Genomic DNA, 26,892 nt, shown 5'->3' with positions numbered 1-26,892 from the left:
TCATTTTTTTCCTTTTGGCAGAGCGAATTGGGGTCCTGGATTTTTATTTTCCTATCACAACCTTCAAGTTCTACTCCATATAGACCCTTGCTTAGGGCTAGTCTGGCCTTATAGTGCACACTGAGAACTCTGACCAATAGCTGGTGAGATCTTAAAATGGGTCCTTGCTTCCACACCACTGGTCTAGTGGGCCCAAAGTAACATTTAGGCCTCAGATATGTCAGAGAGCTTCCAGCTGACCCCTAGTTTACCTGGTTAGCTTGTATTTGTAGCTTTGCATCTTGGTTTTTGATGTGTGTTCCAATTCCTTGCTGAAACTGGAGGCTACCCCTTCTTGGCTAAGACCTGGAAGTGCTTATGGGTTTCTGCCACGTGTCCTCTTCCCACCCCTTAGTAACCAATGCCCCTCTAACCTAGAAGGACCACCATCATCCATCTATCATCCTAGCCCCCACTTGACAACTATAACCATCTCTTCTCAGGAGTGGCTCTACCTGACCCTGTCTTTGTGGAACTGAGCCACTTGAATATTTTTTTTTTTTTTGAGATGGAGTTTTCACTCTTGTTGCCCAGGCTGGAGTGCAATTGCACGATCTCAGCTCACCACAACCTCTGCCTCCCAGGTTCAAGCAATTCTCCTGCCTCAGCCTCCTGAGTAGCTGGGATTACAGGCATGCGCCACCATGCCTGGCTAATTCTGTATTTTTAGTAGAGATGGGGTTTCTCCATGTTGGTCAGGCTGGTCTCGAACTCCTGACCTCAGGTGATCCGCCCGCCTCAGCCTCCCAAAGTGCTGAGATTACAGGGGTGAGCCACTGTGCCTGGCCACCACTTGAAGATTTAATCACCCTCATTAGATTTCACTTAGCCATGCTTGGATTTGGTTATTTGTACCTCTGTCTTTTCCTGGAGGGGCCTGATTCTTCTGTCCCATATTGCTTCCCACAGCCCTGAAGTTGGCTTATTTATTTTTTTTAATTTTCATTTTATTTTAGATTCAAGGGGTACATGGTTATATTGCATATTTGCAGGGATTGGGCTTCTAGTATACCCATTACCCAAATAGCGAACATTGTATTCAATAGGCAAGTTTTCAAGCCTAACCCCCACAGTCTCCCTCTTTTTAGAGTCTCCAGTATCTGTGATTTACTTCTTTATGTCCATGTGTACTCATGGTTTAGTTACCAAATACCACAGCGAGAACATGCAGTATTTGTTCCCATTCCTTGCTGAAACTGGAGGCTACCCCTTCTTGGCTAAGAAGTCATTTCACTTAGAATAATGGCCTCCAGCTTTATCCATGTTGCTGCAGAGGACATGATTTCATTTTTTTAATAATAGTTGTGGCTTATTCGTTTCTCTCTTGGAAAAATCCTCTCTATTGTCTACTCTGTTCCGAGCAAACCGAAGTGTACCAAAAGGTATACTACAATACAGCTTTCAGGGAAATTTCTCTACTTCATTACCTTCCACCAACCAACCTTCCCCTTCCAACTAAAAGGACATTAACAATATTATGATACCTTTGTTTACAATTTGTAAGTTTATCTTGGAGATTTCTACAATGAAAGTTGGACATCATCCACCTATACTTTATACTCTGTATCTGGTGGAGACTGGGGGCTTGGTAAGTACTTCATTGATGACATTCATTGGTGACTGAATGAATGAACTGAAACATCTTAATAGTGGTTTTAAAAAAGGAATTTGGGAATGGTTGCTCTAGTACTTGTTAATGATTATCTAGTAGTTTTGTGGGATGGTTAATTCCATTTTTTTTTTTCCTGAGACACTCTCGCTCTGTCACCCAGGCTGGAGTACAGTGGTGTGATCTCAGGTGATCCATCCCCCTTGGCCTCCCAAAGTGCTTAGATTACAGGTGTGAGCCAGTGTGTCCGGCAGATTAATTCCATTTTTAGTATGAGGTACGAATGAGGACAAGATGGTAGTTTTATCACTGCCTAGATAATTTATTTTTGTGTAGTATTTGTTTCACAGTCATACATGGTACCTTGCACTAAAGTAGTCATTAAATAAATCATGCCCTTCTCACAAGGCAGGATGAACAAGAGTATGGATATAGATGGTTTAGAGAAAACTCAGTTCCACTGCTGAGAAAATAATCCACTAATCATCAGTTAGTTGTTTTTATATAGGATAACACGTTATCATTATGAGAAACAACGTTCCAAAGAACAGGAAAACCTAATGTTACAGTAATAAAAAATACTTAATTTTTTTCTGACATTATTTGATATTGTTCTCTAGCTTTTTATCCTGACCTATGTCAATGTCATGCTAGTATCTGAAGAAGTGGTTGGAACAAGGTCCCACATTTTAATACTTATGAAGTCTTTTGTACTGTTTATTGTCCTCTGCATGAATTTTTCCTTGATTTTTATAATATTTGGGGCCTTTATTTATTTTTTCTTTCTTTTTTTTTTGACGGAATTTTGCTCTGTTGCCCAGGCTGGAGTACACTGGTGCGATCTTGGCTCACTGCAACCTCCACCTTCCAGGTTCAAGCAATTCTCCTGCCTCAGCCTCCTGAGTAGCTGGGATTACAGGCCCGTCCCACCAGGCCTGGCTAATTTTTTTGTATTTTTAGTAGAGACAGGGTTTCAGCATGTTGGCTAGGCTGGTCTCGAACTCCTGACCTTAGGTGATTTGCCTGCCTCAGCCTCCCAAAGTGCTGGGACTACAGGCATGAGCCACTGTACCGGCTTGGGGGCCTTTCTTATTTGAGGAAAGCCCCTGTTAAGATCTCAGATTGAATTTTATTGAATTTTCACTTCCCTTATTCTCATGGATGCCTGGGGTCTCCAGATACCATCCTATTTGTGGGTTTATGTCTTGGTGCTTTTTATTATTATTATTGTTATATTTCTTACTGTAAGGAACATTGCTGACAGTGCCTTATTTCATTTGGCTTGTAAATGCTGATGCTTGCTATCCTCTGGGTCAGAGAGAGGTCACAGTCTGTTCTAAAACATAATCGCTGGCTCCACCATACAACTGTGAGTTTAATTAGTCCCCCATACTGGTGTGAAGCGCTGAATCTTATTGCTGAATGAGGCCTGGAGAGCGCATCTGTTCTGGTCCCTTCACCTTCTGGCAGGTGGGTTCCAAACCATTCAAGAGAGGTGGCTGTTGGAACTGAATTGAAATAATCATTTAAAAAATCTTTGCAGATTACAATTTGACAATCTCTTTGTATTTAAATTTAGAGTTATCATCCATTACCATCCTGATAATGAAGAGTTTCATTTTTTTGTCTCCATGAAATAAGTCCTATTTTAATAAAACTGTTCTCTCTTGTTTGCTCTTCTCTAATAAGGAAAACAATGGACAAAAATCTCTGCAAAAGAATGTCTTCTCTGCTTCCAGGTTATAGCTAAGTCATTTCCGTTTTCTCTTCTTTTTTTTAGACAATAGGGCATAGTCTAAATATTAATCAGGTAGCTGGTATTAGTTTCTCTTACCTTGCTATGAGGTAGGTGAGGAAAGCATTTCAGCACACAAGCTTTAGAATGAATCCCACCTGTGCTGGAATCCTGATACTAATAATCAGCTTTGTAAACTTGGAAAAGTTACTTAATCTCTCTCAGTTTTTCTCCGTGGAAATAATAATAGATTCTCCTCTATAGGATTTTAAAGAGGATTCAATGAGTGTAAAGACCATTTGGGCCAAGCGTGGTAGCTCACACCTGTAATCCTAGCACTTTGGGAGCTGAGGCAGGAGGAATATTTGAGCCCAGGAGTCTGAGACCAGCCTGGGCAGCATGGCGAAACCATCTCTACCCTTACCCCCAACAAAAAGCATTAGCTGGGCGTGGTGGTGCGCACCTGTAGTCCCAGCTACTCAGGAGGCTGAGGTGAGTGAATCAATTAAACCTGGGAGGTGGAGGCTGCAGTTAGCTATGGTCGTACCATTGCACTCCAGACTCGGTGAAGAGTGAGACCCTGCCTAAAACAACAACAACAACAACAAAAAGATATTGTTCTACTTACTACTGTTGCATAACAAATTATCTCAGAATGTAGCAGCTTAATGCAATTATTTCATCAGGTTCATGGATGTTATGCATCAGAAATGTGGAAAAGACACAGTGATGAGAGGTTAACTTTGCTCCACAATGCCTGGGGCCTCAGATGAGAAGACTAGGAGTCTTGGCTAGGGTGATTGACAGCTGCAGGCTCAAATCATCTGGAGGTGTCTGCAATCACATGTCCAGCAGCTGATGCTGCCTGGAGCTGCTGAATGGGTGATTGCATGCAGCTTGGGCTCCCTACTAGCATGGCAGCCTTAGGACAGTTGAATTTAGTTGAATGTCTTACATGGCAATGTAGGGTTCTAGTGACAGTGTTCCAGTGGACAAGCTGACACTGCATTGCCTTTTATGGATCAGCCTAGGAAGGTAAGCAGTCATTTATGCTACATTCTATTTAGGACAAGTGAGTCACCAAGATTGGCCTAGATTCAAGGTAAGAGGATATGGACCCAATCTTTCAATGGGAGTGTCGAATTTATGACAAGTTTTTCAAACCATCATAGATAGTATTTTTGGCCTTAAGACTAATTGAGATCACCTAGGTAATGGGTGTAGCTAGAAAAGAGGTGAAGTTCTGAGCCCTGGGCCACTCCAGTATTTGAAGATCAAGAAGATAAGGATCATCCAGCGAAGGAGACTGAGAAAGAGTGGCCAGTGAGGTAGGAGAAAATCAGGAGAGTGCGGAAATTAAGTGAAGGAAAGTGTTTTAGTTAAGAGAAGTGATCAGCACTGTGAAATACTGTTAAAGCGGCAAATGAGATGCGGACTGAGGACTGCCTATTAACTTTGGTAATGTGGAAGTCACTGGCAATCTTGGCCAGAGCAATTTCCAGAGTGTGGTAACTGAATTCGTCAACTTTCACCTCCTTGGCTGCCAGCCTCTGTAGGTCCTGGGTGTGTCACCTCCACTCCCACCTCAGGACCGAAGGTTCACACTGGCTTAATTGGTTTGGTTTTGTCACCACACGTTGCAATACAGTCTTTATCAAATGTTTTCTGCTGATAGAATTTATGAAAGAATGCCACTTATCTTTGCAGTGTTCAAATTTGCTAAGTAGCTCTAATAGCCGACAATATCTGTATTATAATGTTTGATTCTAAACATATTTTGGAAAGTCCCATTTATAGTAGAGCTTTAGTGAGAGATTTTAAATGATAAATTTAAAGATAGGGCAAGATGGACAAGATCCATTGACAAGCAAGTGGAAACTATTAGTCTGTATACCTAAGTAAACCTGCCCTAATGAGGGTTGGATTGTTTTTTAACTTCTTGAGGGACAAAACAACAACAGCAACAACCAAAACAAAACAAAACAAAAAACAAATTTGAAAAGGAAAAGGTAAAAACTTCTCCTATGTTTAAATAATGCCACGTCAAAATCTACTTAATGGTTGTTCAGAGATAAAACATTTGTTTTATTGATTTTATTATAGTTTCGGTTAAACTATAACTGTGTTGATTATATGTGTGCAAATTCTGCCTGTTTGCTCTTGCATTCATTTCTTACCCATTGCCTGCTCTACTCTGTCTTTGGGGACCAGTCATGCAGCCTCCCTTTCAGAGGCTCCGTGTTAGCTTCAAATGACAGGAGATTTGTGGTAAGAGGATTCTCCTCCCCTCTCTCTGACTATGGCAGCCTCCCCTGTAGCATTTGCATCTCTTCTGTGGCTCCATCTCCCACCAGCCCTGGTTTTAGCTTCCACCAGCCTAGGGGTGGGAATAGCTTCCTGCTGCTGCCAAACTGGGTTACCTGACTTGCCCTGCATTTCCTCAGCTCTTCCACCATCCATGGAACCATGTGTCAGAATTAAGGTTTCTCTGGTTTTGGTCGGGCACAGTGGCTCACGCCTGTAATCCCAGCATTTGAGGCGGGAGGATCATTTGAGGTCAGGAGTTCAAGACCAGCCTGGCCAACATAGCCCTGTCACTACTAAAAATACAAGAAAATTAGCCAGATGTGGGCCAGGCGCGGTGGCTCACACCTGTAATCCCAGCACTTTGGGAGGCTGAGGCGGGCAGATCACAAGGTCAGGAGATCGAGACCATCCTGGCTAACACAGTGAAACCGCGTCTCTACTAAAAATACAAAAACTTAGCCAGGTGTGGTAGGGGGTGCCTGCAGTCCCAGCTACTTGGGAGGCTGCAGCAGGAGAATGGTGTGAACCCGGGAAGCAGAGCTTGCAGTGAGCTGAGATTGTGCCACTGCATTCCAGCCTGGGCAACAGAGCAAGACTTGTCTCAAAAAAAAAAAAAAAAAGAAAAGAAAATTAGCTGGATGTGATGGCATGTGCCTGTAGTCCCAGCTATTTGGGAGGCTGAGGCAGGAGAATCGCTTGAATCAGGGAGATGGAGGTTACAGTGAGCATGTGATCACGCCACTGCACTCCAGCCTGGGAGACAGAGTGAGACTTTGTCTCAAAAAAAAAGCTTTCTCTGGTTTAAATAAATAGGTGATTTCTGCTTTTTTGGTTGAACTCTGATATAATCATGTGCGTAGTTCTTTCTTTTGCCCTCATATCAACTTCTAATGCCCAAATATGTGAATTAACAACACATCCCACTTCTTCCTTGTTACAATAGGAAGGAAAAGTTGAGTTTATAGAACCTGCAGATTTTTTAGACCTCACTTGCTTTGTGATTAAAGCCATGGGCACTGGCATGAGACAGGCCTGGTGTTGACTTGTAGCTCCTGTGTCAATTACTAGTTGTGTGATCTTTCACAAGTTAAGATCTCTAAGCCTCAGCTTCTTCCATCGTCTGTGATATAGAGGTAATTTCCCTACTTCATATGGTTATGATGATTGAATAAAACATGAGCTCAAACTACCCAGGACAGTGTTTACAGGTTGTTAAGTGTTCTGTAAAGGAAGCAATTATTAATCAGAAAGTTTCTTTTTTATATACAAGCCCTTGCAGTTGATCTCACTCATGTCAGGAGCCTGACATGAAGACAGGACAGGCATTTGCTGGCATTTTATCCTGGGAGGGTACTAAGCCAAGTCATTCATTTGCAGGGTCAGGATGTGGCTAGGCTAAAAGGAGATGTGGTAAAACATCCTCAGTGTTGCTATACATTAAGCCCTACTGTGGCACGCACCTTGTTTTTGGCTCCGTTCTCCAGCAATGACCCTATAGTTATTCTGAAGTTAGATATACCAAGGTGAGAGTGAGGCTGACTGTTATAAATATTAATTGGTGGATTAATTCTCCTGCTTTTAGCCCTGAATTGGAGGATTAGTTGAAGAGAGCTTGTATTGGGGACTAGGCTTAATGATTTCTGTCCTGCCTTCTTCTTTCCACCTTCCTACCTTCTTGTCTTCTCCTGTCCTCTTTCTTTTCTGAATGGTCAGATTAATTCCCAGCATCTTCATAAAACATTCTCTGATTATTTCAAACAAATTGGGTGTTTGCAGTGGTATACATCTAATCTCCAGGCCCCCAAGCAGAATTTCACAAAGAAGACCTCCTCCAGACTATTTTTCCCCAAAGAATACCCTGCGAGGCAGCCTGTGGCACTCTTGTTTTGCAGGAACACTTCAAGCACTGTACAGCTGCTGGGCTGTGCCTTTCTTTGGCTTAAGACCGGTTTCATTAACAAGCATGTTCACACTTCAACCGGAACATTTAAAATAACACCCGCACAATGTGTTTAGTGTCTAGTTAATTATTAAGTCTCTGAGCTTGAATTATTCAAGCAAAATTGATTGGGTTCAAGCTCCTTCCTTCTCTTTGTGTGTGTGTTTTTTAAAATAAAAATAAATTCTGCTCTCTACTTTCTAAATAATGTGGAAAGGGTTATTTAGCAACCATCAATACCCTGGACTGTGGGTGGTACCCAAGCGCTAATAGAATAGGTAAAGAACTGACAGCTTGACTCTTTTGTTAAAAAAAAAAAAAGTATCTACATCTCATATACTTCCATTGTCAATTAGCATTTAGTGAGACCTAACATGTTTTAGGTTCTCCTTTAAACTTCTTTCTAGTTATTTGTAAGTTGGAAAAGCAGGTATCTTGGAGCCATTTCTTTAGTTAACCGTACTTGAAAAAGCAGAAGAAATTGCTTCCTTCTTTGCTACCGCATCTTATGGTCAAATGAAACTGTTAAAATTGGCTTCACCATTAAAATCCATGTTGTTGAAGAATGTTTGTTGAACTGAAAAAATGTCCATAATATATTGCTAATTGCAAGCAAGAGGCTATAAAACTCTTTTATTATGTATCATTTTTGTTAAAGTGCATAGGAAAAAGACTTGAATAATAAACACCAAAATATTGCTTATTATCTGTGTTAGGATTAAACTTTTCTACTACTTTTAGAATTAGACAACACACACCCATATAAAGATGTCATGGCTGGAAATGACTGACCTTTTGTTTGAATCTAAGTATCATTCATGTCAAGACCGCATTGAAAATAATGCTGTTCTTAAGCCAGGCAAGTGTAGACGTTGTAGATTTCATAAAAGATTCACACTATTTCATGAATCACAACTTGAATCGACTTCTGTTAGCCTTCATTTTACGTCTAGGCCCTCATTTCTAATTCTTCCTCAGCTTCCATATTATCAAGATGTAAGATGCAATTGTGGACATGAACATAGAAACACAACCGCCTCACAGGTGTGGGGAAGGAATATAAAATAATTGTATTTTAGAGAACGACCATAAAGGAGATGGCAATTTTGAGAGAAAGTAACAGAACTGCAATGACCTAGTTTTGTGGTGTTAATTTAAATGTGGCATCTTCCATGAGAATTTTATAAAGGGAGCTCTCCTAAAACCGAGATTCACAAAAACCTGGAAGGGCCCTACAGGGATCAGGTGCCCTAGCTATTCAGCGATTTGCCTTTGCTTCCCTAATTCCTGCATTGTGCCACTGGGTTACAAGTGTGTGTGCGCATGCACACAGGGGTGTAGGTTTGATGACAGTGGTGAACTGCCTTGACTGCCTTCACAGGCTGAATCCCCCGCAGGCAGTAACCATGGCTAGGGAAAAACAGGCAGCCGCGAGGACAGTTCCGGAGGAGACAACACCAGGCTCCCGTAGGGAAACTTTTGGGAATGGAGATGGGGGATTCCATCCTTTGCGTGCAGACCCAAGACTTCGATGGTAGCTCGGACAAGTCTGTCATTGTTTTTGTCCTGGGAAATGACACACGAAGTGCTGTAATTAGACACCTAAGAAACGATTACTCTGGAGTGTGCGCGAACCGAATCTGGGGGGCCGGTGGGGAGCAGGTAAGGGGCTGAAAGGCACCGTCTCCTCCAGCTCTGTCGGAAGCCTAAAGCCCTCTGCTTCTGGGCGCCCTTAACAAACGCGCCAGACAGGTGATGTCTCCGAGGACGAGCAGGAGCCCCCCTTCGCGATCTGCACCAGAAGCCTCGGGGAGCCGGGGCCACGGCGCGGCGGTGGCGCAGTTCCCAGCCTGCGCCCAGTCCCGCCGCAGCTCCCGGCGCGGCCCGGTCATCCCGCCTCCATATGCTCCGCCACCGCCGCCCGGGCCTCCCTCAGCCCTCCCGCAGCTCCGCATTCCACGCTGCGGCAGCCGCAGCCTCGCCGCCTAGGCAGTCCACACCCCTCCCCTCGGGCTGGCGCAGCCACTCGGGCCCCGAGCCCGCGCCCCCTTGGGGGCCTCCGCTGGGCGCGCCGGCCGGACCCCGCCCGGCTTGGCCGCCGGCTGGGGCTGAGGCTCGGGCAGGGCGGGGGCGGGGAGTGGAGGGCGTGTGCGCGCGCGTGTGCCGGGGCCGGGGGGCCAGGCCGCCATATTGGATCCAGACTCGTCCGCAAGCCTCCGCCTCTGTGCGGCGGGACTGGAGGAGCCTCGCTGAGCCCAGGGCGCGAGCGCGAGAGGAGAGGGAAGGCGGGGGAGGGCTGGAAGGGAGAGGAAGGGAGTGGTTGGGAGCCGGGCTGCCGCAGCCTCTAGTCTCCTCAGCCGCGGAAGCGACCCCTCCTCCTGCGCCGGGCCGCCTCCCTCCTCGCTGTGGAAAGATGCCCTTAGCCCAGGGGTGTGAAGAAGGGGGAGAAGTAGCTGCCAGAGCCGCCCGCGCCGCCGCCGCAGCTGCTGCTGCTTGTGTCCTTTGAATTCAGAGAAGCACCCCCCCGCCTGGGGCGTCGGGAGCCTCCGGCGCGGCGGCCCGGTGCGGGTGTCGGGGAGACCGGGCTCTCTGCCCGGCGCGGCGCGGCGCGGCTCGGCCCACGAGCGACCACCGACATGGAGTGGGCTCGGGCGGCCAAGTAGCCGCTTCTCCGGAGCCCGGTGCCAGTGCCGCCCGCAGCCCGCCTTCCACCCCCGGCCGCGCCGCCGGTCAGGCCCTAGGGTGAAGCCGGGAGGAAAATGAAGAGTTTTCACCGGAATCCGTTGAAAATAGGACTGACTGCAAAGCCTTAAAGAAAGAAGGACCTCGGGAGGAGAAACGAAAAGCCGCCTCCGGGCAAGACTTGGCGTGCTCCGAGCCGAGGGGCTGCTTCAGGGACCTCGCCCCCTCCCTTTCCCGCTGGAGAAATTGCCGCTGATGCATTATCCAAGTGGTGGTTGGGAGGATTTGCAGCAACATTTTTGGTTTTCCCTCCCCCTTCTATGCATTCTGTTTTTTTCCTCCCTTTTCTGTTTTTCTTCTTCCCGGGAAGTGAATTGCTGATGCAAATCGGACTTTATTCATTAATGATGCAACCGGATTCGTTTCAGGATTACGTTGCACGAGTTGAATTTTGAATGAAGGAGAAGAGTTTTTTTTTTTTTTTTTAAAGAAGTGTTGACTCTCTAGTTCGTTGTACTTTTAATTATTATTTTATTTAAATATACGACTTAATTGTATTCTTTTAAAAATGCATTAAGTATATATTTTATGGTAATTTACCCTCAAAATATATGTATATGGGTGAAATTGAAGACGCTTCAGTTAAGTGAGGTTACTGGTGTGTTGGATGTTTAATTCAGCACCAGCATTGCATGACAGTTGTTTGAATAACAAGTGGTTTATTTTTAAAACCATACCTTTTAAAATTTAGGTTCAGATAATAGTAAAAGTCATCATAATAATTTAAAGGAAAACCAGCAGAAATCGAAGCAAACATGTCTGGAGAAGTGCGTTTGAGGCAGTTGGAGCAGTTTATTTTGGACGGGCCCGCTCAGACCAATGGGCAGTGCTTCAGTGTGGAGACATTACTGGATATACTCATCTGCCTTTATGATGAATGCAATAATTCTCCATTGAGAAGAGAGAAGAACATTCTCGAATACCTAGAATGGGGTAAGTTTGTAATTTTTAAAGAAACTGTTAATCTTTAGCTGGTCATTATGATTTAATTGGTATAGAGAGTTATGAGTAAACTCTACTCCGTTCAAAGAAAAAATACAATAAAAAAACAGACACTAGTTATTCAAGATTTTCCGCTAGTTTTTGGTAAATATTTTCCCAGGAGTAGAATTGTGCTGCTCAATTGTTGCCTTGATTTAAGGCCTAGCTAATGTGGAACTTGGCTATGAAGAACTTATGTTTTTAGGTCAACAGTAAGAGATTTTAAATCAATTCTGTGATGGGCAAAAGTGGATTATTGGTTACAGTTGCCTAATACATGGCACTATAATAGTCCTTCATTTGAAAGGTATTTATTGGTGGAAACATTCAGACTATGGAAATTATTCTCAAAATAGGAGGAGATATTAAAATATCTGTGTTTGCCTTAGGTCAACAGAAAGCTGAAGGTGGTGATCAGTGGGTTTTATTTCATCTCTACATAGTACAAGGAAAGGAAACTGCTAAACATGGACTTTCCAAAAATTATGTTTGTAAGATTAAATGACATAGTTTAAAAATCTTGTGATAGTAGTTAGAGAATGTTTGGGGGCAGCTTCCACTTGAGAGTTAGATTTTACTCGAAAGTTAATTTAAATCTAAACTGGTTAGGTTTTTGGCTTCATTCTTCTAAATATAGATGTGATTTAGAAGACCTACTGTAGTGGAATAGATCAATGATGTGAGCAAACGCTCCATGACCTTCAAGCTTGAAGGCTTGGCTCAAGTTCTTCAGCGTCTGCTGTTACATACAGGGCACATTCTAAGGTCCAGAAGTTCACTGTTGCAATAAGCACGCATCGTCACCCAGATCTGTCTGTAGTAGTGGTACGTTGGCTTTTGAAGGATTTTGGCCAAATATGATTTTGTACCTTTGGAATACTAATCATTTTAGTTTGTTCTTATGCTAAGTTCTTATGCTAAAATATCTGTTCCCAAGTAAAACTTTATTTTCCTGAAGTAAAAGTCAAGTGCTGATTGTGTCTTTTTTTTTTTTTTTTTTTGGATTTGAAATTTATTCAAAGTTAGTTTCTCAGGTAAACCACTGATACAAGAATGTCTACACGTAATAACTTTAATTATTCAATTTGCCAGTATAAGAAGGTTTCTAGCAATGTGATGTCATAAGGTTTAAAAAAATATGTAAATGTGAATAGAATAACTTTTCAAAACAGACTGCCAGACTCATCCTGGGAATGTAAGAAATCTAAACCATCTTTCAAGTAACTTCTCACTTAAGAGTGAGACAATTTTGGCTTTGGTACTGGTTTTGTGAGTATACGTCTTTTATTTGTTGAATAAAGTATTTTGTAAAGCATATGTAGTTTTACATCCCATGTTTCACAAATTGAGAAATTCTGTAGTGTTAATTTTTTTTTTTAAGACTTAAAGGGTTTTGGTACTTTTAGAGTTGGAACTTGAGTTCTTAAGTTATGGTTCCTTAATGACACTCTAGTCTGTGATTTTTGTCATTTAGTATTCTTTCCTATCTGCGAAGCTATGGGAGAACTCTATGTACCAGTAGTAAATATAATTTTAAATGATTTATGATAAAGAGAAAACTGTATCCTCCATTGCCTTCTGATTATTAGAGTTTAGGTAAGTAGTTTTATGTTATGAGATATTTCGCTGTATTATCAGAATAATTTATATATATTTTCCATTAAATATGTTTTCTTGGATGTTGTTTCTTATATATGTATAAGAACACCTCATTTATGTATATTTTTATATAAGCCAAATATCAAATAAGTATTTGGCTGAGTATTATTTTTATTAGTATGGAAGTCTGGATAAAGAGTAAAAAGAAAGTTAAGAATGGAAAAGGCTGTCAGGAGTTGCGTAGTGAGTAGTGGTATTTGCTGTCTTTAAGTTATTTGAGAATTTAGGTTAAGAGTGCCAGTCTATTTAAGAATTGAAATAGATCAGATGTTCTTCATATGAATTGATAACTGCATTTTGGGGAAATGTCCTATTTTATTTTAATTACTTAACAATATGTGAAAATCAGTTAAGACTAAGAATATTTCCAAATTGTGAATTGACCTCAGTTCAGTGTTCTAAACATTATTTTTTGGGACTCTGGTGGAAATTTACAGGGATTGTTGTTGGGGTTAAATTTGGTAATTTAGATTTGCCTTAAATGGTGTAATTTTAAGTTTAATTTTTAATAATTGAAAAAATATTGTCTTTTATTTAAATCTTTAAAAGACTATTTGCAACAGGAACGCAGTATTAATAACACAAGTTGTTACATATTTGTGTTCGTTATTTATATTAATGAAAGTGTCAGCTAGATGCTACTTATCTTTATGCTGATGATAGATTACTCTTAAAGTACAGTCAGCCAAGATTCTTACCGGCTGTATTCAGCTTCATTTCTATCAATTTCATTTTATTCCTAGTTTTAGTCCATTTTATTTTTATATTGGTACAGTTAATGTTTTGTTCATAGCAGTATCAAAACAATAAGAAAACTGACAATTCAAAGTCAGATATGTTGTTTTTCTTTGACAGCCTTTCTTGCTTTTGGTGCTGATGGCTTGAGGGAGGAAATAAGTGGAAAGAGAAAGAGAGGATTAAGCCAATGATCACTAGAGCAAGGGAATAAAAGTGCCTTAAGACTATAGATCACATTTAAATTTAATAAGATGTATTATTTTTCATTTATAGTAAATAGTATTTGAAAGACTATGTTTTTTGTCTGCTTAGTTTTAAGTTGTTGAAATGATTATGGTTTGTATGTTTGTGTATACAGTAATAGTCGATGTCAGCATAACTCTAGAATAAATTACAGTGGAGTTGTAGAAGTAAAAATAACTTCCACATTGTAAACTAATTTGCTAGTAATGACTGAATTAGTATATCATTCGTTAAATCGGCCACCCCCTACTTTGAAATGGGAAATTGGAATTTTGGGGAATTATTTACCAATTTACTTAATAAATGTAAGATAATATTAATACAAAATAAATATGCAAGGCTGTCTGTACATGGATAACTATTTTGATGCTTTTTGAATTTTGGACTTTGTAACATACAGAAATTATCACTAAATAACTAATTTTATAGCTTATTCAGATTTTGTATATACATAGAAAATAGTCTGTTTAATAAATTTGTACCTAGAGCATATCAGCAGGTACTATGCTTTAAGCTTTTCTTTTTATTAGTATAGTTTTAAAGCTGTTCACTTTTTTTTTATGACACGAGTGTTAATTAAGTGAGGTGTTGATGGATATGTATCTTTTCTAGGACACTTTTGTTCTTCACATATGCTGTTCCTCATTGTTAGCTTTTCCTGAGTAGAATTTATTAATTAATCAGTCCGAATTATCAAAATGTTCACTTAATACAGATGATTACATTTATTTTATTTAAGTTCTCAACTAGAATAATCAGCAATATTGGTTGGGTACTTGTTTCCTTTATACTAGCCACCTAATATTCTATTCTAGGAATGATAATGAGTAATTACAATTATTTTATCTAGTACAATGCTGGCACATGGTAGAAGTGTGTTCAATAGATGTAATGGCTATTATTATAACATTTCTGTTTGTCTCTCTCTTTTTAAGAGAAATTACACTTAGAGGTAGTTGCCAGATGATACTGGTTACTGGCATTCATGATGGAATAGCATAGGAGTGATGCTGTTGATAAAATTACATCTAGGAAAAATTCCCTATAAAGTAGAGTGAACTTAGGTATAATGAACTAGTGCTGTTAACCCCTAAAGTCTTTGAAATACTTGATGTTCATTAGTAATTTTTTTGTTTTTAGGAACATCACCCTTTTATATTATGTATTGATTTATTTTAGAGACAGGGTTGTATTATAATTGTTTTTAGGAACATTACTCTTTTTATTTTATGTATTGCTTTATTTTAGAGACAGGGTTTTGTTAGTCTGTTCTCGCATTGCTATAAAGAACTACCTAAGACTGAGTAATTTATAGAGAAAAGAGGTTTGATTGGCTCACAGTTCCGCAGGCTACAAGGAGGCATGCAGGGGAGGCCTCAGGAAACTTGCAATCATGGTAAAAGGCAAAGGAGAAGCCGACCCCGTCCTGCATGGCTGGAGTGGGAGGAAGAGAGAGAAGGGGGAGATGCTACACGCTTTTAAACAACCAGATCTTGTGAGAACTCACTCACTATCACAACACAAAGGGGAAGTCTGCCCCCATGATCCAGTCACCTCCCGCCAGGTCCCTCCTCCAACACTGGGATTACAGTTTGACATGAGATTTGGGTGACGGCACAAATCCAAACCATGTCAAGGGTCTTACTGTGTTACCTAGGCTGGTCTTGAACTCCTGGGCTCAAGAGATCCTCCCACCTCAGCCTCTTAAAGAGCTGGGATTACAGGCATGCACCACCACACCCAGCTTTTTTAAAAAAGGAATGTATTGCTTCATGAGTGAAAACAGGATGTCAGGATTAACACTTTAGGAATTTTAGACATATATTTATTTTATATGGAAATGTAAGGCATACCTTAGTATAGCAGTATATAAAAACAAATAGTGCAGTATGTTGGAAATTTTATGAAATGTCCCATAATTCCTAGGACTTGAATACTATTACACAGTAAGCTCAGGCTATTTTAGGATAAAATAATTTAGCTCAAATAAATATTTTATTGTACCACTCTTTTATGGCAGTCAAAAATTTATTCTCTGACCTTTTTCTCATTTGGTACATTTATTGACAGTATGTTACGTATGTAGCTCATTGTTTTTCTCCTGCTGGTTGTGATAGGTTTTAAAACCAATTACTAAGTCTAACCAGCATTTAAAAAAAATTAAAGACTAGAATAGAAAATATAAAGTACATCAAATATAGAAGGAATAAGTATTGTTGTGCAAAACATTGTGTTTTCCTGTAGTCCTTATTCCCATATTTCTTACTATAGGTTGAGATAAAAATAGTTTGAAATACTTCAGTGTAGGTGCAGCTATGCTATGTTGACTGTTAAACAGTGAAAATATAGACAGTTCATTTTTTCAAAAAGGACACACGATAGATTAGGGACTTACTCAAGAACCTAGTGAAGGGAAAGAGTGTAAGGTATGGGCAAGATACAGACTTGGAAATAGATGGGAAGAGGAGACATGGGGGAGGGAGAAAAAGAGAATGAGTAGGGAGAGGGAGACAGAGAATGAGAATGAATACTGTGTTCCTGAGTTGCTACTTCAGTCTGACTTGTTGAATGATAGGGTATTTTTTTTTTTTATGATTGGGTATTTTTAATTTAAAAGAACTTAATGGGCAGGGGAGTTAATTTCACTCTTGTATTTCTTTCAATGGTTTATTGTCTCTTCCTTTGTTTTTTTCCGTTTCTGAGTTTGGGCTAATGGGCATTGACTTTGATTGATTGTCAGAGGTATATACGTTTTTGAGTTTGAGTGATAACCATATGACCTATAAACAAAGGTAGTAGTTTCTTGGTTTTAGCTTCTCATCACTTCAGCTGAACTCTAGGGTAGATGTAGGTGAGGATTTGCTAGTTCTATCAGATTTTTTCTCATCATTTGTTGCTCAGGAAACTGCCAGTTTTAGGTATCGAGGACCAAGAATTGCTTAGCTCCTTTTGCCCTGTCTTGATGAGTCAAGAAGTCTTTGCATAATAATTGTTATGAGAGACCATCATGGCTCACTACAGCCTCAACCTCCTGGGCTCAGGATCCTCCTGTCTCAGCTTACCAAGTAGCTGGAGCTACAAGCATGTGCCACCATGCCCAGCTAATTAAAAAATTTTTGTGTGTGTGGAGATGGGGGGTCTCATTATGTTGTCCTGACTGGTCTCAAACTCCTGCCCTCAAGTGATCCGCCTGCCTTGGGCTTCCAAAGTGTTGGAATTGCAAGTGTGATCATCTGCACTTCGTGTGATTTTTGTTTTTGAATTACCCACACTGTAAGTATGGATTATCCCAGACACAAGTTTTTTGTTGTATATAAAAACTCCTTGGCCGGGTGCGGTGGTTTACGCCTGTAATCCCAGCACTTTGGGAGGCCGAGGTGGGCGGATCACGAGGTCAGGAGATTGAGACCATCCTGGCTAACATGGTGAAACCGCGTCTCTACTAAAAATTCAAAAAAAAAAATTAGCCGGGCGCGGTGACGGGTGCCTGTAGTCCCAGCTACTCAGGAGGCTGAGGTGGGAGAATGGCGTGAACCCAGGAGTCAGAGCTTGCAGTGAGCCGAGATCGCGCCACTGCACTCCAGTCTGGGCGACAGAGCAAGACTCTGTCTCAAAAAAAAAAACAAAAAACAAAAAAAAAAACTCCTTTCCAAATCTGGGGGACTTCCTTTTCTTCTCCATTAATGGTGAGTAGAACTCCAGGATTATTCTTTCTAGCTAGCTTCTACACACTTCCTTCCTATGACTGCCATCTCTTTTTCTAATCAGTACGTAGGGAATGGCTAATCTTCTATTGGCTAGTGTTTCTTTATCTATCACTGTATGAGAGCAGCACTTTAGCTTTCATGTTAACGGGGCACAAAGACCTGGCTCCCCCTTTCCAATCCCACTGTTTGCCTTTACTCTTCCTCATGGAACTGTTTGCTTCTCTTTTGGGATTAGGGCCTCTTCACTCTAACCTCCCTCCCTAGTTTCAAAGTGTGTTCTGGAAATCCATGGGATATTTAATAGATGCTTGAGCAAGGGGAAAGGTTTATATGAATAAATCAGTTTGGGAAAAGATTTTAGACAACATTTAATGTTAAAAATACAGCAGATTATCCTAGAATTTATGAAGTTTATCTGACTATGGAATAGGCTTTTTTTCAGAGCGTCTGGAGGATGGCTGGCAACCAGTGTTTCACAGAATACGCTTTGGGAAATGTTCTTCCAGTATAAGGTCATGGTTTTCCTTGTAACTTCCTGAGTAGCAGGGTTAGAAAGAAATTTTGAGAGAAATTTGGGATATCGTGTGGATTGGAGAGAGAATCCAAATCTGAATAGGTTATATTTTACTTAGTGGCTGTGAACTTCATTTTCTGTGTGAAAGTCATGTGCACTGAAAGATAAATTTAATCATGGTGAAATAACATGAGTGATGCTGTTGGTAAAATTACATCTAAGAAAAGCACCCTAAAAAGTAGAGTGAAATTTGACATCATAATGAACCACTGCTGTCAACCCCTAAAGTCCTTGAAATTACTGAGAGATCTCTTAATTATGACCTTTTCCTGCTCTAATTAAGCTTACTTTTCTTTATGTGTAGGCATTTACATTAAATACAGAAATTGTCACTTTATTTTTTACAGCTTTCATTACTGTAGATGTTGCAAAACTATTGTCTATCTGAAGAGATTACATTCATTACTTTGTGATTTTTAAGAGGAAAATATCATGGACTCATAGTTTTAAAATCCTGTTACAGTGTTAAGTATTGTTTTTTGCAGTGTAACACATTTTGGCTAGGCCATTGGTTTCAGACTTTTGGACTAGTGTGGGAACTTTACTACTATTTATTACATCCATGAAGCGCTGTGTTTCTAGTGCCAGCAACTATTTATATATACTGTTAAGGAAACTAGAAAATATATACTTTTATTAAGGAGAAAACATAATTGGTGCTATTTTGGCATTGTGTGAACAATTAAAGCTGTGGTTACTATTAACTTTTGTTCAGAGTTTTTGGGAGGCCAGATAATAATCATAGAGGACAATCTAGTTTCATTGTTTAAAGACAGACAGCATATAGGGGAATAAAATTAGTTTTCTTGCTTATTTTTTTTTTTTTTTTTTTGGTAGAGATAGGGTCTCACTATGTTGTCCACGCTGGTCTTGAACTCCTAGCCTCAAGCAATTCTCTGACCTTGGCCTCCCCAAAGTGCTGGGATTACAGATGTGAGCAGCCGCACCTGGCCTTTTTTCTTTTTTCTGATTTAGATTTATTTTTCTCTTTAACTCTTCCTCACCAGTGCCATTCTTCCCACTCCTGATCTAATTATACTGCAAAGTACTACTTATATGGATGAAAACAATCTTTTGAAAAGATTGTGAATTATTTCAGTCATGTGCAATCATGTGTTAACTTTCAGTTTTATTTCAGATTGCTTAAACGTCACTGTAGGCTTAATCAAAGACAAAAACACCTTCTGTTTAATTTGGTCTATTCATAGTGATAACACTTAATCCAGTTTCCTTAGAGTTTCCATGGTGAATATCTACAAGTAGAACACCTAACCTGAAATGTTTCTGTTCTAAACCAATATACTGGAAAAGAGCAAGGGGTTTTGGATTAAGACTGACTGCTTTGATTATTAACTGGGTGATTTAGTTATTTAACCTCCCTATGTCTCTTTATGAAAAATGGACATAAGACTAATAGTTTATTTTTCTAAAAAGTTAAAAGTTGGTTTAGGATTCTTCCTTTTCTGGTGATTTATGGTTGTATTTTGTCAGCTTGCTTCCCATTCTGTTTTTTTTTTTTTTTTTTTGAGATACAGTCTCACTGTGTTGCCCAGGCTGGAGTGCAGTGGCGTGATCTTAGCTCACTGCAGCCTCTACCTCCCGAGGTCAGGCAATTCTTCTGCCTCAGCCTCCCAAGGAGCTGGGACTACAGGTGCACGCTGCCATGCCTGGCTAATTTTTTTCTTGTATTTTAGTAGACACAAGGTTTCACCATGTTGCCCAGGTTCATCTTGAACTCCTGAACTCAGGCAATCCACCGGGCTAGGTCTCCCAAAGTGCTGGGATTTTAGGCATGAGCCACCATGCCCGTCCTCCCATTTTGCTTTTTAAAATTTTGATAAAGGAATAATTAAAATGCCATTTATTGGTAAATAATAACTGAAATGCATAGCTATACTAATATAAGGATGTAAATAACTATTTTACTATTAACATACATTTGTATCTTACTGATAGTATTTTATTATATTGGGATTGAAGATGCCAATATTTCTGTGTGACTATGCAAAAAAATCTTACAGGATAAGCTTTTTGCATTGGAACATTTTGTTGTTATATAATTATTCTTCAGTAAGTATCAAGTTAATGCTCATTCATCCACCAACAACAACAAATATGAGATGACTAATTACATTTTATTTTTATATTTATATATCTCCAATCTGCACATCAGTGGTAGAGTTCTGGACCTCAACGCAGAGGGTTAAAATCATCATGAAAAATTATTGATGTGTTGTTCATTTAGGACTTTTTATGTATTGAAGATTATGCAGCACCCGTAAATGTATTTGTGACCTGACAGTACGACACAAACGTGTGGTGTGGTATGTAGAAACTTAATGTACACTAGTGTTTCCTAAATTATATTTCTAGAGATATAAATGAATATTCTGAAAATTAAGAGTTCAGTGGCTGTGTAAGATTGGAAAATAGTGCTTTTTGTATGCCTCTTTGGATATTACAAAGCACATTATCATAGAAAAAGTTTCAAAAAGTTTGCTGTAGAAACCATTTAAACTTTGTTTTACCTAGAATTTGCCTGAGTAATTTAACATTGGAACTCCTTATGAAGAACAGCTGACAGAGTTTGGGAAATGCTGGTATATACTTAACCGTAGGTAGTGTGAGAGCCTTTAAACTGGTTGTGTGACAGAAAGTGGTTAATAAAGTCTTCTAACACATAAATTGTCACAATTTATATCAATTTCCAAACAAAGGCAAAGGTTTGAAGGTTTGCCTTTATCCTTTCCATATTTTTTAGCGTATCTGTTTATGTCATCTAAGCAATATTAAGTTGGTGTGGAGTTTTGCATGGGGTGTATATATCTTTACAAAGAAAGGACAGTGAGACTTGATACATGACTTCGAGGAGTTTATATGTGCACTTCTTGGTTTGCAAAGATGCACCTGCTAAGCTAGTGATTTTGTTTTTTTCCAGTAAAGCTTTATTATGTTCTAATCCAGTTACCTCTCTAACCATTGGTACAGAATTTGGGATCGATATTGTCATGGCTGTGAAATAGAACAATGCTAATTAGATTTTATGAAAGTTTTGTAAAAGCAGTATAGTTATCTTGCTACAGCAAGAATCCCATCCTTAAGTATCATCGTTTACTTAGAGTGGCTAATGCAATGCCCCAAGTTGACTCAGATACTATTAAAAGCACTCAAGCATCTACTTAGAAGTGGTATGCCCTGAGATTTAAAAAATACTTGTTTGAAAAGATTAGGAAAAGCCCCCGCAATGAAACAGTGACTAAAGCCCCTTTTTGAGATTGTATTGCTAGCTACCTGTGATCTGGCCCTGAGCTAAAAGCATAACTAACAAACATTTAACAACAGACTAAGTTCGGGTATGTAGTGAAGCTGACATATGATATCATAAAGCTTTTCCATACTCTCTACTTATAGAGATTCTCCTAGAGTTTATGGTTAAAACTACAATAATATTTTCAGGTCTACTGTAGTATCTGTTTCTGCCTTTTTGTTGCATGCGTTCGTAATGTGTTACCCATTTCTGACTAATACATGCTAAGTTGACAGTTTCTTCTAAGAGTCCTTTGCTGTGTTATGTTGCTTGAGGCTGTGATTAAGTGTGATCATCATATTTGTCTCTTTTGCCTATGTACCTCTGGTAATCCCAGTTAAGTGTAGTAGCTCATGAGTTCTGGTTTTATTCAACCTCTGTGTGCATCTGGCTCAGTTGACTTCTCTGTATTAAACATGTACAAATGGGTTACGTTCCTGGATCTTACTGATCTTATTAATCATGTTTGTTTTTCCATTAAATACTAAGCAATAACAACTTCCTTATTACATGTACCTCTAACTTGAAAATACTGTGAATTCTACACATCCAAGACCTTTGTAGAAGGAAGCAAAAAAAAAAAAAAAAAACCACTTAGAACATGATCCTTTGATCATGTCAACATCCTGCTTAATATACTTCAGTGACTACTGAAAGCTTTCAGAATGACATTTGAACTCCTCTTTAGCATGCCATACAGAATTTTTAATATGATCCTGTTTACTTCTCTTTTTCTTCACTTTATTTATTTATTTAGTTTTTTGAGATGGAGTCTCGCTCTGTCACCCAGGCTGGAGTGCAATGGCACGATCTTGGCTCACTGCAGCCTCCGCCTTCTGGGTTCAAGTGATTCTCCCGCCTCAGCCTCCCGAGTAGCTGGGATTATAGGCATCCACCACCATGCCTGGCCAATTTTTGTATTTTTAGTAGAGATGGGGTTTCACTATGTTGGCCAGGCTGGTCTCAAACTCCTGACCTCGGGTTATCCACCCACCTTGGCCTCCCAAAGTGCTGAGATTACAGGCGTGAGCCACCACTCCCGGCAGATGCTATGATATTTTAATGGCTGAAAAAGTGGTGTCAAATTTGATGATGGTGATGAAGAAAATAATTTTCATAATCCTTGAAGTATATGAACTTCGTTGAAAGAGAATAAAGTCAGCTTAATAAGAATGACATCTAAAGGTATGAGAGGACCTAGTAATCTTTGAAAGACCAACCTTAAGAGACTTCTCTGACAGCAAGAAAAATGAAAGAGTAAACAACAAGAAATGAAGACGAGGTTTCTTGAGACAACAAACCACAATGCAGACATTATACAAATGTGAGTTACTTTTATCCTATCCATTTTGGGATTAATGTAAAGAATAAGAGTAATCTATACAGAGTAATGGATTTAAGATAAAAAAATGTTTGCCTCAGCTTCCCAAAGTGCTGGGATTACAGGCATGAGCCACCATGCCTGGCTTTTTCTTCACTTAAAAAAATTTTGAAATAATCTCGAGTTTACAGAAACATTGCAAGTATAGTATAATTTTTTTCCTCTGGAACCATTTGAGAGTAAGTAGCCTACCTAATGCTCTGTCATCCCCATATATTTTCTGCATTCTTCTACCTAACCACAATACAACTATTAAAATGAAGAAATTAACATTGGTGTATATTGTCATCTAATCTTTAGGGCTGAATTGTTTAGGAAGGAGAAGGGAATGGCCACTTATTATGTATGTATGTGTGTGTGTGCAATTTTATATTTATTTTCCACTGTCATCTTAAAAATTATTTAAAGTTCTTTAAGAAATTTACCTATAGTAAAATTCACTTATTTTGGTGTGTATATTGTGAGTTTTAACAAATGTAAAGTCATGTGACCACTACCATAGTCAAGGTACAGAGCAGTTCCATCATCCCTAAAATTCTCTTGTGCTATTCTTTTGTCCCACACTCATCTTTTACTCCAGCTATAAATGAATTTGACTCTTTTACTAATTAAACCATAACTTTGATTATTCATGACTTTTCACATATTGGTTAAATTGTTTGGAAACTCCTCTTTCACTGCACCCCATAGGAGACATTTGGTAATGTAGGTTGAATGAATTATGCCGTTATACTTGTTATATGCAGGGCTAGAAGCAGTAGCTCTAATCTTGAAACATTGTATGAAACTCATATTTTTAATGCCAGGGACTTGTTTCTTCTTTGATTTACCCTATTTTATTTCAAAGTAATTTTTTCCTTTTAAAATTATTTAATAATTAGAAATAGTGATAATAAAAATTCAAAAGTGGTTTTTGTGTTTTTCTTTTTTTGTTTTTTTTTTGAGATAGAATCTTGCTTTGTTGCCCAGGCTGGAGTGCAGTGGTGTGATCTGGGCTCACTGCAACCTCTACCTCCTGGGTTTAAGCAATTCTTCTGCCTCAGCCTCCTGAGTAGCTGGGACTGCAGACATGTGCTACTATGCCTGGCTGATTTTTGTATTTTTTTGTAGAGGGGGTATCGCCATGTTGACCAGGCTGGCCTGGAACTCCTGGCCTCAAGTGATGCGCCCACCTCGGCTTCCCAAAGTGCCAGGATTACCGGCGTGATTACAGGCGCCACCACATGTGGTCAAAAGTGATTTCTTATATGAGTAGTCATTTATTATCCCCTAGCAGTTGGCAATTTGTAAACAAGTACTTCATGGTGGTGAGGTAAGGAGAAGAGGGTGCTGCTATTTAAAAGAATGAGGTAAAATGCAGATAATCTCAAATTTTTCAAGGTAAAAGTTCTTAGATTAACTCTGCATTTAACTTTATTTGCACAATGTCCATCATAAACTTTAGAGTCTGGTGATGATGGATTGAGCATACAAATATAACTTCATTTCCTTCTGCAATTCACTAACACTATAATAAAATAATTTTTTTAAAGAGTCATAAACCTTTAAGGATGATAAGAGTGGTAGAAGAGACTATAGAAACAAAATTTTGGAAGCTGAAAAGCAGGTAGATGAGTGGTAATGACTTAGGAGGTCTGAGAAAGTCAGATTCCAAATTAGCAGTGGTGAAAGCTGAGGACCTGTTCAGTTTACTTGGCAGAATCTTCAGAAGTTTTAGAAATTGCTATCTTTAGGAACCTCTGGAAGTTGAGGTATGGGTAGGGCTAAAGTACAGAGGATTGATTGAGGCTGGTTTAGAAGCAGTAGAAACTCTAGAGCAATTCCCCTGTTGAGTGCCATTGGGTTACTTTATCCCTCTCCTCAAACAAATGTTGGATGTTCTTAGTACAACAGAGGTTTTCTGGATTGGGCAACATAGGCATAGTTTATGGTGGACATTTCATATTGAAAATAAGGAGATTAAGTAAATTTGTATTTACTTCTGCTCCCAGAATGCTGGCAACTGGGATTAGGACAGGAGATTAGAAGATTAGAAGAGTCTTGTCTGGAGAATCTGACTCTCCCCAAGAAGAAAGAACTTAGAGATGCAGATATCAGAGGCTTCTCAGTAAAGGGCTCAGGCAGTCACACTACAGTGAGATTTGTTATCAGGGGGTTTCACCCAAGGATTTGGAGCTTCACATCATGTTTTAGTTCTCGTAATTAAATATGAATGGAAAATAGAATTGCCAGACATCTGAGGATCCTCAAAGCCTCTATAGGGTACAGTCCCAAACAAAGAAAGCAACCCACATGAAACATACTTTTCAGGGAAAGCATAACTTCGAAAAAAAAAAAAAACCCAAAAAAACCAAATCACATAAAACTATCAGTATTTTCCAGAGATGAGAGAAAATCCTGCAATCATGAAGTCAGGATGCCATAAAAAGGAGCAAAAGAGAATGAAAAAAGTTCTTTGAAATTATTATGATAGCTAAAATGGAAACCTCAGTACAAGATTGGAAAGTAGAAAAGTGGAGCAAAAAGCCACAGAGAGATAGAAAAGAGGAGATAGAGGAGAAAATTAGAGGACCAATTGAGGAGGCCTGAATAATAATCTGATGAATGATAGGAATTCTAAAAGAGCACTTTGAAAGAACAGAGGGGGAAAAAAATCATCAATACAAGAAAATGTTGTAGAACCAAAGGACACGAGTTCCTAGATAGAAGGGGCCTACCAAGTACCTAGGTCAGTGGATGAAAATAGATTCGCATCAAGGTTCAGAATCAATATATTTTGCAATTCCTAAAACTCTGGGGACAAACAAGAGACCCCAAAAGGTTCCAAAGAGTGTGAATACAAAGGATAAGAATCAGAAACTCTTTGGCCTTTTCAGCAGCAACTCTAGAAGCTAGAAGACAGTGTTCATATTTTGAAGGAAAACAGTTTCTAAACTGAAATTCTATATCCAGACAAATTCTTAAGTATGAGGGCGGGATAAGGACATTTTTAGGCATGAAGGTGTTAAAAATTCTGTAACCTGTGGGCTACAAATGGTTTACTTAGGATAAGGAGCTTCCCAGGATGTGGGACTTCTACTAAAACCAGCACAGTCTTAGGCAAACTGGAATGAGTTGATTGCCTTAGCTGCAACTAGGTAAAGGAGTGAATGAAGATGAGGAAGTAACAGGATATAGGAAGCAGGAGATACAATGCAGGAGAGAGTAGAAAGGATTTCCTAAGACTGTAATGAAGGGAGAATACAAAATGACAACTTTGCACCAAGCATAGAGGTGAACCATAACAGACAGGATGCAGTTCAGAAGGTTTCAGGACAGACTTAAGTATCTGATATGGATGAACATCTTGAGAGGAGATTAGAAAATCTGGGGAGGGTTTAAGGTTGCTTAGGAAATGAAGCAAATGAGAAAACAATAAGAAAAATAGAAATTAGGAAAGGAAAAGTAATAACTTATATGGTTATAGTAATGGAAACACTTAATATTTATCTAACTAAAATTATGCTGTAACCATATTGGGAGGATGGTATGGAAAGGGAATTTTTTTTTTGGTGGAAGTGATAGTAGGTACGGGGCGTAATGTTTTTCCTAAATCTTAAGTGATGATTGAATGTGTATTTATGAATAACTGATAAAAATGAAAATTTTAAAAACAGCTGTAGTTTTTACAGAATTAAAAAGTCTAAATCCGGCTGGGCACAGTGGCTCATGCCTGTAATCCCAGCATTTTGGGAGGCCGAGGTGGGCAGATCACGAGGTCAAGAGATTGAGACCATCCTAGCCAACATAGTGAAACCCTGTCTGTACTAAAAATACAAAAATTAGCTGGGCATGGTGGCACATGCCTGTAGTCCCAGCTACCCTGGAGGCTGAGGCAGGAGAATCGCTTGAACCCAGGAGGCAGAGGTTGCAGTAAGCCGAGATCGCGCCA

At 39.5% G+C, this 26,892-nt stretch overlaps 1 protein-coding gene and 1 long non-coding RNA gene across 25 annotated transcripts in view; one reads left to right on the top strand and one right to left on the bottom strand.

The window, feature by feature from the left end:
* Positions 1-8,247: 8,247 nt before the first annotated feature.
* Positions 8,248-9,717, bottom strand: LOC124904531 (uncharacterized). Its single transcript, XR_007066911.1, has 2 exons — positions 9,311-9,717; positions 8,248-9,195 (listed from the first exon to the last, which is right to left on the bottom strand). It is a non-coding gene; the product is annotated as an uncharacterized LOC124904531 (long non-coding RNA).
* Positions 9,718-9,816: 99 nt separating this feature from the next.
* CDC42BPA (CDC42 binding protein kinase alpha) overlaps positions 9,817-26,892 on the top strand; it is a 328,635-nt gene continuing 311,559 nt past the window's right edge. For all 24 annotated transcript variants that reach the window (NM_001366011.1, XM_017002580.3, NM_014826.5 and 21 more), the window contains exon 1: positions 9,817-11,304. In NM_001366011.1, the coding sequence (NP_001352940.1) occupies positions 11,127-11,304 (178 nt within the window). In that variant the 5' untranslated portion in view covers positions 9,817-11,126. The remainder of the gene's footprint in view (positions 11,305-26,892) is intronic.

This window comes from Homo sapiens, chromosome 1 (assembly GCF_000001405.40).
Source record: "Homo sapiens chromosome 1, GRCh38.p14 Primary Assembly".
NCBI classification, from domain to species: Eukaryota; Metazoa; Chordata; class Mammalia; order Primates; family Hominidae; genus Homo; species Homo sapiens.
This window is presented reverse-complemented; position numbering and strand designations above follow the sequence as displayed.